Source organism: Homo sapiens, chromosome 1 (assembly GCF_000001405.40).
Source record: "Homo sapiens chromosome 1, GRCh38.p14 Primary Assembly".
Classification (NCBI taxonomy): Eukaryota; Metazoa; Chordata; class Mammalia; order Primates; family Hominidae; genus Homo; species Homo sapiens.
The window spans coordinates 62,638,396-62,651,279 of NC_000001.11; the positions used below are offsets into that span (position 1 = coordinate 62,638,396).

General features: G+C 36.0%; 1 protein-coding gene and 1 pseudogene across 15 annotated transcripts in view; both read right to left on the bottom strand.

Annotated features, from left to right (window-relative positions):
* DOCK7 (dedicator of cytokinesis 7) overlaps positions 1–12,884 on the bottom strand; it is a 233,661-nt gene that overhangs the window by 183,670 nt on the left and 37,107 nt on the right. For all 15 annotated transcript variants that reach the window (XM_047432967.1, NM_001272001.2, NM_001272000.2 and 12 more), the window contains exons 5-7: positions 10,020–10,149; positions 9,711–9,923; positions 9,296–9,381 (exon numbers count right to left, since the gene is read on the bottom strand). In XM_047432967.1, coding sequence (XP_047288923.1) covers positions 9,296–9,381; positions 9,711–9,923; positions 10,020–10,149 — 429 coding nt within the window. The remainder of the gene's footprint in view (positions 1–9,295; positions 9,382–9,710; positions 9,924–10,019; positions 10,150–12,884) is intronic.
* On the bottom strand, positions 2,525–3,348 carry RPL13AP9 (ribosomal protein L13a pseudogene 9; annotated as a pseudogene).

Here is a 12,884-nt window from a genome sequence, read left to right on the forward strand (position 1 = left end):
ATATCCCTACATTATCTTCTGGAAACTTTACCATTTTGTCCTTCACATTTATGTCTACTCTCTATCTGTAAAAAAAATTTTGTGTATCATGGGAGGCAGTGGTCAAGTTTCCTATTTTCATATCTATATATATGAATATATATTTTCATGAATATATATATTTTTTCATGAATATATATTTTCATGAATATATATTTTCATGAATATATATTTTTTCATGAATATATATTTTCATGAATATATATATTTTTTCATGAATATATATTTTCATGAATATATATATATAGATATGAAAATAGGAAACTTGACCACTGCCTCCCATGATACAAATTATATATATATATGAGAAACACATACATAGACAAGACAGATAGACACAAAGAGAGGAAAGCAGGGGGGAGAAACAGATATCCAACTGTCCTGCCAATTTATTGAAAGGATTACCCTTTCCATACTATAAAAAACGTCCACTGTTATTACAAATCAAAAATGCATAAACATGTAGGTCCTTTTTTAGCTCTTTTTTTTTAGTTGAAGTAATAAATGTTTAATGAAATAATTTTACATAATATTAACAGCATTCATTTGGCAAAATATTTACATGTTTGTAGAGTACTACTGTATATAAAGTGGGAATATATCAAGTACAGACTTTTCTAGCTCTTTCCTCTACTCCAGTGCTCTAGTTGTCTAATCATGTACCAATACTATACCATCTTAATTACATAGTTTCATACTAGTCTTGATATCTGGTTGGGTTTTTTTAAATAAAGTTCTTCAAAACTGTCCTGCCTCTTTTGGCCCTTTGTATTTTCATATAAATTATAGATTCAGCTAAAAATAAACAAAAGCAAATCAAAGTGAAATGCTAATTTACTTATTCAGAAAATTAGAGGCCAAGGTGGGAGGATCGCTTGAGGCCAGGAGTTCAAGACCAGCCTAGGAAACACAGCAAGATCCAATTTCTAATTTTTTAAAAGAAAGAAAATTAGTATCCCAATGTGTAACTTAGTGCAAACTTTGTAATACTCTTTTTTTTTTTTTTTTTTTTTTTTTTGAGATGGAGTCTCGCTCTGTCGCCCAGGCTGGAGTGCAGTGGCTCGATCTCGGCTCACTGCAAGCTCCACCTCCTGGGTTCACGCCATTCTCCTGCCTCAGCCTCCCGAGTAGCTGGGATTACAGGCGCATGCCACCACACCCAGCCAATTTTTTGTATTTTTAGTAGAGGGTTCACTGTGTTAGCCAGGATGGTCTTGATCTCCTGACCTGGTGATCCACCTGCCTCGGCCTCCCAAAGTGCTGGGATTACAGGCGTGAGCCACCGGGCCCGGCCAATAACTTTATAATATTTTTAAACCGCATTTAAAGATCCATATTATTACTATCATGAACAAAGGATGGAACTCTGGAGAAAATAAACTGAAGAAACCAACACAAATCCAGTGAGCTCTACTTTAAGTAGACAAGAATTTAAACTGCCAAAAATGTATATGTAGAGTTTTTTCTTTTTTTTTTTTAAGTATATTCCTCATGGATTCAGTACACAATTTGAGCAACTGCAAAAAAAATGAATGCCACATTATTTTTATACTATCAAACATAGGCATGTTTCAAGAAATGCTACTTGCTGAGCAATACTCAATGGCTATTATGCTGCAAAACAGGTATTTTTTATTCACTATAAATGTACCACTCTACATACTCACTTATTTAAAATGTTGAGAATACTTACAACGATGAAAGAAAAAAACATTTTTTAATCACCAAAGGCCTACCATAAGACATTACTAATAAGATGTGGCTTATTTGTTAGGTCTTTTGAAAATTAAGTGTGTGGGCTGGGCACGGTGGCTCACTCCTGTAATCCCAGCACTTTGGGAGGCCGAGGCAGGTGGATCACGAGATCAAGAGACCGAGACCATCCTGGCCAACATGGCCAACATGGGGAAACCCCGTCTCTACTAAAAATACAAAAAATTAGCCAGGCATGGTGGCAGGCGCCTGTAGTCCCAGCTACTAGGGAGGCTGAGGCAGGAGAATCACTTGAACCCGGGAGGCGGAGGTTGCAGTGAGCCGAGATTCTGCCATTGCACTCCAGCCTGGCAACAAAGCAAGACCCCGTCTCAAAAAAAAGAAAGAAAAAATTAAGTGTGTGTGTGTGTATTTGTTCCCTTTCAAAGTGATTTATTTGATTCTGATCACAAAATACAGGGAAGGAGCAAGGGCAACGCCTATAACCTCTTGGTTGCACATGTTCCCAGTCTATGTGTCTATAAATACCCTTTGTACAACAGCAAACTCATGCTGTCCCCCATGCGTTGTTTCACATTCTAGCAGCTACAGAGTATAGCATATGACCAGGTGGGAAGTTAAAACAGATGCCCTATTCACAAGGTAGAGTTCCCCTCCAAATAGTGTTCCAGCTCCCTTGTGCTACTACTACTGAAACCAAAGTAGCTGGTTGTTCCTACTACTGATCTTCTAAAATTCTTTCATGAACAAGTAGGTCATAGACAAATTATGTCTGCACAATTCTTAGAGTGGCTTAAAGTAACCTTATAGAAAGGCAGTGACTAAGGTCTGTTCCTTGCCCCCAGCTTCCTACATCCCAGGCTGCCTGTGGCACCTGGACTGCCCCTCCTGGATCCCCCACATCCCAGGGCAGCAGTGAAAGAAGGGCAGGCCAGGCCAAGCATGAGGCGTAAACAGTCTTTATTGGACTCAGACCAGGAGTCCATGGCTCTTGAGGACCTCTATGTATTTGTCAGTTTTCTTCTCCATGTTCTTTTGGCCTGTTTCTATAGACTCATGAGCTGTCTTTTCTTCCAGTAGTGGATCTTAGCTTTCTTCTTTCTCTTCTTCTCCATGGTGGCTGTCACTGCCTGGTACTTCCAGCCAACACCATGAGCCAGGAGCCCCAGGTAGGCAAACTTTCTCACAGGCTTCAGGCACACAACCTTGAGGGCAGCAGGAACCACAGTCCACTTTTTGTCATAGGGGAGTGGGATCCCATCAAACATCTTGAGGTGGTCCAAAGCAGCCTGGCCTCACTTGGTCTTGTGGGGCAGCATGCTTCACATGGTCCACCAAAAGAGGTGGCTGGGGGCTTGGAAATGGTAGGGTCCTCAGAAAGGATTGGTGTTCATCTACTTGCAGAGGAAGGCCAGGTACTTTAACTTGTTTCTGTAGAAATTGCCAGAAATGTGGATGCCCTCGCAACACATGATCACCACCTTCCAGCCCAGCAGTACCTGCTTGGCCACAATGGCCGCTGGGCAACCCGGAGATGGCCTCAGCCTCATGCACCAGGGCCTTCCCCCTCCCAACTTTGGCAGCCACCTGGGAAAGGCTAAATTGGGTGTGTTTTCACATTTGCTTACAAACAATTATAGTACAGTTTTTAACATTTTATCAATATGTGTTGACCCTCTGTTTTGACTTAAAGTCAATTTTGTAAGACGTTAATATTGTTCCCTCAGCTTTCATTAGGTTAATATTTGCCATTATATCGTAATATATATTTTTACTTTCAATCTTTCTGGGTGCTTATGTTTTACATGGATTGCCTGTTCTTTAATAAAAGACATGTAACTGGGTTTTTTTTTAATGCAATCCGATAATCTGTCTCTTAAATGGATAGTTTAGTCCATTTATACTTATTCTTAAGACTTATATTTGGATTCATTTCTAGCAGCTTTTTTTAATTGTTTACTTTTTCTTTTTTTTTTTTTGAGACGGAGTCTTGCTCTGTCACCCAGGCTGGAGTGCAATGGTGTGATCTCTACTCACTGAAACCTCCGCCTCCTGGGTTCAAGCGATTCTCCTGCCTCAGCCTCCCGAGTAGCTGGGATTACAGATGCATGCCAACATGCCCGGCTAATTTTTTGTATTTTTAGTGGAGATGGGTTTTACCATGTTGTCCAGGCTTGAACTCCTGACCTCAGGTGATCTGTCCGCCTCGGCCTCCCAAAGTGCTGGGATTATAGGCGTGAGCCACCGTGCCTGGCCTGTTCTACTTTTTCTAAGTGTTTTTCCATTCTTGACTTCTTTCTCTTGGACTGACTTATAGTTCCACTTTCAAGCCAGTTTTTCTCCTTTGCCTATAATTTACATTTCTATTTTTTTAATGGTTACTCAAGAACTTTTAAAGTACATAGTTAAGTTTTAAAATATCAATATCTTTATTATTCTCCCAAACAGTAAGATCTTAGAATGTTTCAACCCTAATCAACCCCCAATTTATACATTGTGTTATTGATTTTGTTCTATCTTAATTATTTTAACCTCATAAACTAGACTCTATTACCACAAACACAGGTTTATCTTTATGTTTTTCAATTTCTTTGTTCATCATTCTTCTACCTAAAATCTTTCTTCCTGAAGTAATTCCTTTAGAAGTTACATTTTTAGTGATAAAGTATTGTAGAAAACACTAACAATTTTTATCAGTATAAAAAGTTATTTACCTCATCATTTGCAGATTTCAAAAAAATGAATGCAAATTCTTTGCAGATCCTCCCATTAAGAAAAGTCTATTTCTCCATACCTTGAATTCAGGCTACCCTTGTGATTTGTTTTGATCAATAAATGATATGCTGTAAGAGTTTTAATCCAAGGCCACAAGAGGTCTTACAGCTTCCACTCTCCTTTTTCTGAAAACCCTTCCACCACTACATGAACAAGCCCAGGTCAGCCCACTGGACAATGGGAAAAGCATAGCTACTTTCCCAGTTGACATTAAGCCAACTGCCAAATATATAAAAGAGAGACTCCTAGACCAACCTGCCTGCTAACTACCAGACATGCACAACTCCTTTATAGATCATCCAGTCCCAACCAAATTGGCCCAGACTACAAGAACTACCCAGATAACCCACAGAATTATGAGAAATACTGAACATTTGTTTTTTTAAAACATTACATCTTAAGGTGGTTTACAGTGCAGCAAAAACTAACTGCTTCAAGAATGTGTTTGTTGAAAGGTAATTTTACTGGGTATGAAGTTTGTGGTCAACAATTATTTTCTCTTAACAACACTGAAGATAACACTCAATGTCTTCTGGCTTCCATTGCTGCTGTGATAAATCAGCTGTTAGGCTAATTGTAATTTCTTTGCATAGGATCTCTTTTTCTCTCTGGCCGCTTTTAATACAGTTTCTTGGTTTTGTATTCTCCATTTTTACTATGTTTAGTCTGGATATGAATTTCTTTTTATTTATTCTTCCTAGATCCTACTAGACATCCAGAATTGAGAGTTACTACTATGTTTCATAAATTCTGAACAATTGTCAGCCATTATCTCTTCAATAATTGTTTTCTTCTTCCCTAAGTTATTTCCATTCTAGAATTCAAATTAGACTTTTTGTTGATATCACTTTATTTTCCATCTATTTACATCTTTGTGTACATTTTGTATAAATTTGTTCAGTTTTATCATCAAGTTCACTTATTCAGTCTTCAGTTTTATCTAATCTACGTTGAGCCCATCTAAATGGATTTATAATTTTAATTATAAAATCTTGAAAAAGATCAAATGAATCCTTTTAAAAATCTTCCTGGTCAATTCTGAGAGTCTCTTGTTCCTTTATAATATTTTAAAATAATTATTTACTTAAATATATTAAAAGTACTTATATTCTAAATCTGATTGGTAGTCCTCTTCAGGTCTGCAGTTTGTTTTGCCATGTTTGTTGATTTACGACTGGAGCTGAAACTTTACCTGTAGAAATATTTTAAGGCCTATATTTTTAAAGTGAATTCCTCTAAAAACAATTAATTGATGTATGCTTCTGCCAGGTACCTAGGGCCACTGCAATCTAGAACCACTTTAAACTAAACTTTTGCCTTGGAATTTTTTGAGCCACACATATAGTAGGTAAGCTTATGACCTGGAATTCTCAAGAGCTTTCTCTTTTTATTTTTTCCTGTTTCCTGTCTGACTTTTCCCTGCCAGAGCCGAAGTTGCAGCAAACAAATATCACTACTATTTCTAATATTACTCTCATGAAATCTGGTGTTAGGCATTTATGCAGGAGCATTTCCATCCTCCTTGCATGCCAAGCTCTTTCCCTTGTAGCCCATTAAAACCAGGATGAGCAACAGCCCTAATGTAAAATTAGCTACAGAACACTTACTCCTGGGAAATTATGATTTCTTAGCATTTCTTGGCTAAATTCATATCAACTTGACCATGCCTAGAAGATATTCCCCTGAATGTATAAATCACTATGTTACTGACAAATAGTCTTCTTAATAGTAGAAATAATGTTCTCATCCAGGATAAAGGAAGGCTGTTCTTAGGGAACAAAATGTAAGAGAAATGATTTTCAAAAATATATCAGTTTCTATAGTTAGCTAAAGTAAAGCTATCATTTCTGACTGTTTCTGAACTTCTGTGACCTCAAGTTCTTCCTCACTTTAAACCTGGACTTTTCTTATCATAGACAAATCAGATGTATATAATTATTACTTTAGAATTTTTAATGAGAGACAAACAAAAGTTAAATAGTTGTACAAAAAAATCATTCTATATTTTATTTCTCTGAGAGAAATAAACTTGTAACTTTTATTAATCAAGAAGATCATAAGTAAAGCTACAATGACACACCACTTTACACCCACTAGAATGGTTATGATAAAAAAAACAGATAATAACAAATATTGGTGAAAACGTGGAGAAATTAGAATCATCCTAACTTGCTAGTGGTAATGTAAAATGGTGCAGCTGCTTTGGAAAACAGTCTGGATAATTCCTCCAAAAGTTAAACATGGAGTTACTATACTAACCATAATTCCTATCCTAGGTATATACCCAAGAGAAATGAAAACACGTGTCCCACAAAAACCTATATACAAATTATCAACTTAGCCAAAAAGTGGAAGCAATCATTACTGATTAATAGATAAATAGAATGTGGCATATGCATCAATGGAATATCACTCAGCAATGAAAAAGAAATGGTAGTACTGACACATGTTACAGCACAAGCCTTAAAAACACTAGGAAAACTAAGTTTAAAAAAAAAAAACAAAAAGGACTACATATTGCATGATTCCATTTATAGGAAATAATCAGAATAAGCAAATCTGTAGAGACAGAAAGTAGGACAGTGGTTGCCTACGGATGGAGGAGTTGAGGAAAAGAGGCACTTACTATTAACAAATATGAGATTTCTTTTTGGGATGATGAAAGAACTCTAAAATTTATTGCAATAATAGTTGCACAAATCTAAGAATATACTGAAATCCACTGAATTGTATGCTTGGTGAACTGGGTGAATTCACTGGTGAACTGTACACTGAATATACACTGAGTGAACCACATAATACGTGAATTATACCTCAATAAAGCTATTTTTCTTTTTAAAGTAGAAACAACCCAAATGCTCACTGACTGATAAATGGATTAACAAAAAGTGGTGTATCCACACAGTGGAATATTGTTCAGTCATACAAAAAAATAAACTACTCGGCCAGGCGTGGTGGCTCACACCTGTAATCCCAGCACTTTGGGAGGCTGAGGCAGGCAGAACACGAGGTCAGGAGATCGAGACCATCCTGGCCAACGTGGTGAAACCTCATCTCTACTAAAAATACAAAAAATTAGCCAGGCGTGGTGACATGCACCTGTAATCCCAGCTACTCAGGGGGCTGAGGCAGGAGAATCGCTTGAACCCGGGAGGCGGAGGTTGCAGTAAGCCGAGATCGCACCACTGCACTCCAGCCTGGGCAACATGGGCAACAGAGTGAGACTCCGTCTCAAAAAAAAAAAAACAAAAAAAAAACCCACTCATATATGCTATAACACAGATGAACGTTGAAAACATTATGCTGTATGAAGAAACCAGACACAAATGGCCACATATAATTCCACTTACATGAAATAATCAGAATGGGTAAGCTCATAGAGACAAAAAGAAAATTAGTGATTGTCAGGTGCTGAGGAAAAGAGAGAACAGGGAGTGATTACTAACAGGTATTGTTATGGTATGAAATGTATCATCCCCCAAAATTCATATGTTAAAGCCCTAACCCCCAATGTGACTGTAATTGGAAATAAGCCCTTTAGGGCTTATTAAGGTTAAATGAGGTCCTAAGAGTGGGGCACTAATTCCATGGAACTGGTATCCTTATAAGAAGAGGAAGAGATACCAGAGACCTCTCTCTCTCTGTGCACACACAGAAGAAAAGTCATGTGAGAATGCAGCAAGCAGCAGCCATCTGCAAGCCAGAGAGAGATGCCTCATGAGAAACCAACCCACTGGCACCCTGATCTTTGACTTCTAGCCTCTACAACTCTGAGAAATAAATTTCTACTGTGTCAGCTACGCATTCTATGGTATTTTGTTATAGCAGCCTGAGCAGACTGATACAGGTAAGGAGTTTCTTCCTGGGGTAATGAGTATGTTCTCAAGTTAGACAGTAATGACAGCTGTGCAACTCTGTGAATACATACCACTAACTTGTATACTTTAAAAGGGTTAATTTTATGATATATAAATTAGATCACAATAAAGCTGTTAAAAAACAAAATAAGATTATAAGTAAGAACTGATGTTAGGTGTCCTGTTATTCAAAAGATTCAATGCACTTAATCTATCTAACATGTTTCTGAATAAATCTAACTAAATATACAAAGCCTTAGCTTTCAAGGAAAGAAATTGCCAGAATTATATATAGACATCGTCTGTCCCTATGAGTTGCTTGTTTCAGAAAGCTCTATGAATTGAAACTTTTTTCTTAAGTCAGAACAAATAATTAAACTTATAATATTAACATGACAGCATGAAATAAGAGAAAGCACTTTGTAAAGCAGAATGTAAACATAACACCTCAATGATGTTAGCAGAAATCAGATCTAAGTTTTTTAAAGAAGGAAAAAATACGTATTTCAAAATCTTCAAAAATCAAAGCCTACTGTAAAATCAACTCTTTGATTTTATATTTGTTATATGGCAGACTTAGCTTCATATATATCTTAGGCTTAGAACAGCAGGATTAGCTTCATACATAGGTTTGAATGCTGAATAGCACTTAAAATGATATACAGAATTTAAAAGTTGACTTTATGTTTGCTACACAGTAGGCTTAGCTTCATAAATACGTTAGGCTTAGCACAGTAGGCTCAGCTTCATACATACGTTTGAATGCTGAATAGTATTTAAAATGACATGTAGAACAATACTTCTCAAAAGGACACAAATGCAACTATAAAATCTACTCAGATTTTGTTACATCACTACTAAAATTTTATCCTGGAAAATAAAAGTTGTAAGTAAAAGAAATAAATACTCACTTGAGTGATAAGCATTTTACAAGAAGTCTTTGACCAAAATGTTCTTTGGGTATATCAGGAACACTAAGCCGTTCTATTGGTTCTTCCTACAAATTGAAAAGCAACACCAAAATGAATATGCTTATCATATTCCAACTCTTTATCTTTTTCAGAACTTACTTTACTAATCTAACACTTTTAGTCTTCACAATAGAACATAGAGAAGAATGACCTATTTATCCACAGACAGAAGTCATTTGATTATAACTTACTCATTAAGAATAGTAAATTCACTAGTATAAAATGTATTCATTTATAAAAATTACAGCTGTTTCAGTTGCTTTATCCTCTACATTTTGTAATACTATATATCAATCATAATCCCAAAAGATCAATTTTAATAATCATTTGCTTCTTTATATGCAAACATCTATACCTCATCTGGTGATGGATGCAAAGCAAAAAGTTCTTTGTGACGGTTTGATTTCCTTTGGTCATCATTCTGACGGTCTATTTCTTCATTTGGAGTTCGATCAAGTAAATTGGGAAGCAAAGCATCAGGAAGTGAATTTTTCAAGTCAAAGATACTACAGGCCCAGCTACCCCTTGGGGTATCATCTATTGACATTGAACGTCTTTTAAGGTCATCCTGTCATGCAAAACATTAAATATAAATATATTAATTAATAAATTGACAACTATTTTTAAATAACTTCTTATAGTTATTTAAGAATAAAAGTATTACTTGATCATCCTGGTAGCTGTTGCCATCTGGAGCTTCATCAGATTCAAAAACTTGTTTTGGCAAACCTTTTTGCCTTTCTTTCTGTTTATCTAATGTATTGGGATTAAATCCTGTTCCCAATTTATGATATCTATTAAAGAAAAAAAGTTAAATAAATATCAACTATCAAACTTAGGAATTTTTTCACTTTTTGGGCATCATTATGTAATAAGCCAAGTGTTTTCTGCATTATTTCTTTATGTAATAAGAATCTATTCTAGCAATTTAGGTTAAAGAAAATTTATATTCAATGTTCCTTTAACCCAGCTAAGGAGTAGAGTATGAGTTTCCAAAAGCAAATCATATTTTCCTTCTTTCCATGCCAATCATGTGTATATAAATTAAGCTGTACTTTCAATTCAGAGAATTGGTCAGTAAAAAGAAAACTTGGGAAGCCAGTAACTTGGGTTAAAGAATAAAATGAGAAATAGAAAACATACACTGAATTAAGAATAATATAAATTTTAAAAGGTTATATACATATAAAGCACTGAATCTTAAAATTTCAAGTAGCCAAGAAATTTTTTGCTATCTCTCGTTATCTATAAAAGATCTTAACCTAAAGCTGCAGACTTGTAAAATGAAAAACAGCAAAATCTACACCATCACTGTGTACATATATATATTAACATTACATATATACACAGTTAGCTAAAAACAACTCTTAAATTAATGCAAGCTTCTTTCTTAACAATCCAATAACAACCTAATACCCAAGAACATCAAATATGAGCTGATCAAAAAGCAATTATTGTTCGTGATTCAACACTTCATAGAGCCAAACTGAAGGAACATTTTAGTTGAAGCAAAACAATAATGTTCACAAGATGGTATAGTTCTTGTTATCACCCAATTTATGAGACAGTAAAGAATCACATTTGATATGAATTACTCACATCCAGTCTTGTTGCTAAAGCTATTAAAATAGCAATTACATGATATTAACATCACTGCATAATCGCAAAAGAAAGTATTTTCTCTGAAAGAACTAAAGACACTCAATATAGTAACATGAAAGTTATTACTTAGAAGCAGGTATCTTAATCTTTAATGGAATGTTTCAAGTGTCTTAATTTGTAAAGCTGCATACGTAAGCTGCTCTGATAAATCAGAATGCTACTGAATTCTATACTAAAAAAATTGACGATATGAAATTCAAGAAAGCAAAGAATGATTCATGATCAATACTCTCTTCTATGTCATCCTGTCCTCTAGTCTGTTGCTATGATAAGGCTCTAATAATTACCCATTCAACCCCACACACATCACCATTTTTCTGACTTGTTTCTTAGCATTCTCACTCTCATTTACGGTTCCAGCCACACTGTCCTCTTTACTCTTTGTTCCTTGAACATTTCTAGCATGCTTTCAATATGGAGCCTTAGCATGTATTGCTCTTCCCTCTGCCTAATAACATTCTTCCCCCAGATATTTACAGGGCTCACTTCCTTCAGGTCTCTGCTCAAAATCACCTTATCAGTAAGGCTTCCTCTGATTAATTATATAAAACAGAAGGTCGAGCATGGTGGCTCACACCTGTAATCCCAACACTTGGGGAGGCTGAAGTAAGAGGATGGCTTGAGGCCAGGAATTCAAGGTAACAGAGAGAGACCTTGTCCCAAGTAAATAACTAAATAGAAACCAAAATAAATAATAAAATAAAAATATTTGTCCCTCTTCTTGGCCCTCTCTATCCACTTCATCCTACTTTTTTCTCCACTGACTCACCTAGATCATATTTAGTCTATATTTACCTGTGTTGGTTTATTGTCTATTGACAATCTCATCTCCCACTAGAATATAAACTCCATGAGGGTAGAGAGTTGGTTTCGTTCACTGCTGTATCATCAGTCTTTAGTATAGTGCCTGGTACATATAAGACTCTCAATAAACACTAACTGAATAAATAAATAAATGAAGTACTTTTGTGTCCCTTTATCATACTGTGCTGAATCGTGGAAGAATTTCATGGCTTCCAAAATTGACAAATGGGATCTAATTAAACTAAAGAGCTTCTGCACAGCAAAAGAAACTACCATCAGAGTGAACAGGCAACCTACAGAATGGGAGAAAATTTTTGCAATCTACTCATCTGACAAAGGGCTAATATCCAGAATCTACAAAGAACTCAAACAAATTTACAAGAAAAAAACAAACAACCCTATCAAAAAGTGGGCAAACGATATGAACAGACACTTCTCAAAAGAAGACATTTCTGCAGCCAACAGACACATGAAAAAATGCTCATCATCACTGGCCATCAGAGAAATGCAAATCAAAACCATAATGAGACACCATCTCACACCAGTTAGAATGGCGATCATTAAAAAGTCAGGAAACAACAGGTGCTGGAGAGGATGTGGAGAAACAGGAACACTTTTACAGTGTTGGTGGGACTGTAAACTAGTTCAACCACTGTGGAAGACAGTGTGGCAATTCCTCAGGGATCTAGAACTAGAAATACTATTTGACCCAGCCATCCCATTACTGGGTATATACCCAAAGGATTATAAATCATGCTGCTATAAAGACACATGCACACGTATGTTTACTGCGGTGCTATTCACAATAGCAAAGACTTGGAACCAACCCAAATGTCCATCAATGATAGACTGGATTAAGAAAATGTGGCACATATACACCATGGAATACTATGCAGCCATAAAAAAGGATGAGTTCATGTCCTTTGTAGGGACATGGATGAAGCTGGAAACCATCATTCTCAGCAAACTATTGCAAGGACAAAAAACCAAACACCACATGTTCTCACTCACAGGTGAGAATTGAACAATGAGAACATGTGGAGACAGGAAGGGGAACATCACA